Below are 1,201 nucleotides of genomic sequence, written 5' to 3' on the forward strand. Positions count from 1 at the left end.
TATAAAATACTATCTGTGTACTTGGCACAGTGCAATCATAACATCTCCACGACAGGGGTGCACTATTTTCCAAATTTTACATATAATGGAAATAAGGGCACTGTGTACCTGACAATATTGAACATTACCTGAACCCTATTCTTCTGAAAAATGATAGTTATGAAATCCCCCACCATTGTGTGTTTCAGGAAATAGCTCTCCAGATGATTTGTATAATAGGTGGACACACTTTCTCATGACTCTCATAAGATTCACAAATGACTCCACCTGTGACAAGGCAAAATATAGACCTCTCTCCTTTTGCCTGATCTGACAAATAGAGCCAGCTGAACCAGCTGAACACAGCAATAAATGTTTTCTCTTTAGTGACTGACTGAAATTTCCCCTGCAAATCACTCTTCCTTTGACTTGTACACTCATTTCTATAAAAGGATAAGGCAAAACCACCCCCAGGAACACTCTGTTTTGGACATTGGAACCTCACCCTGTTGCAATAGCCATAGTAAAGTCAATTCCCTTAGGTTTTGTTTGTTTTTGTCTTTGACATACTATATTAATCTGTTCTCATGCTGCTGTAAAGAACTCCCTCAAAACCCAGGGCCCAGCCCCAGCTGGGCCCCTGCCAAGACCCCGGCCTCTGTGCTGGGATGGAGACTCCGGATTGAGGCTGGTAAAAGCTGAACTCAATAGCAGCAATGAGAGTGCTCACGCCACTCTGTGTGTGCAGTCAGCAGTGTGGCCACAGATGGGGGCCACTCTCTCAACCTCAGGTGTCCCCAGGGCCCGGACCGCTACTGGGCACAGCCAGGCTGGCTACCAACTGGTTACCTGCCCTGTGGCTGGGGGACAGAGCAGCAGGTATCAGCTGGGCTAGGGTCAGGGTCAGGGGGCCACTGGTGCACAGCCTGGCACAGACTGGCAGACTTGAGGCCCAGGGTGCTGAGGGTGGTCACACATCCATCAGCCACCTCCAGCTCTTCCAGGGCATTCTAGATGGGGTCCCGGGAGGGGGCAGGTTTTGGTGCCAATTTGAGTGTATAAAGTTTTAGGTAAATACAAAAAAAAAAAAAAAAAAAAAAAGAGCTACCTGACACTGGGTAATTTATAAAAATAAGAGGTTTAATTGACTCACAGTTCCACTGGCTTAACAGAAATCATGACTGGAAGGCCTACAGGAAACTTACAATCATGATGGAATGTG

General features: G+C 46.5%; 1 annotated feature.

Annotated features, from left to right (window-relative positions):
* Window positions 312-812: an enhancer, noted in NCBI's record as "H3K4me1 hESC enhancer chr11:25115650-25116150 (GRCh37/hg19 assembly coordinates)". NCBI's record gives its function as "activates a minimal SCP1, AML or CMV promoter by ChIP-STARR-seq in primed H9 embryonic stem cells {active_cell/tissue: H9 hESC(primed)}" and the evidence as "EXISTENCE:reporter gene assay evidence [ECO:0000049][PMID:30033119]".

This window comes from Homo sapiens, chromosome 11, assembly GCF_000001405.40.
Source record: "Homo sapiens chromosome 11, GRCh38.p14 Primary Assembly".
NCBI classification, from domain to species: Eukaryota; Metazoa; Chordata; class Mammalia; order Primates; family Hominidae; genus Homo; species Homo sapiens.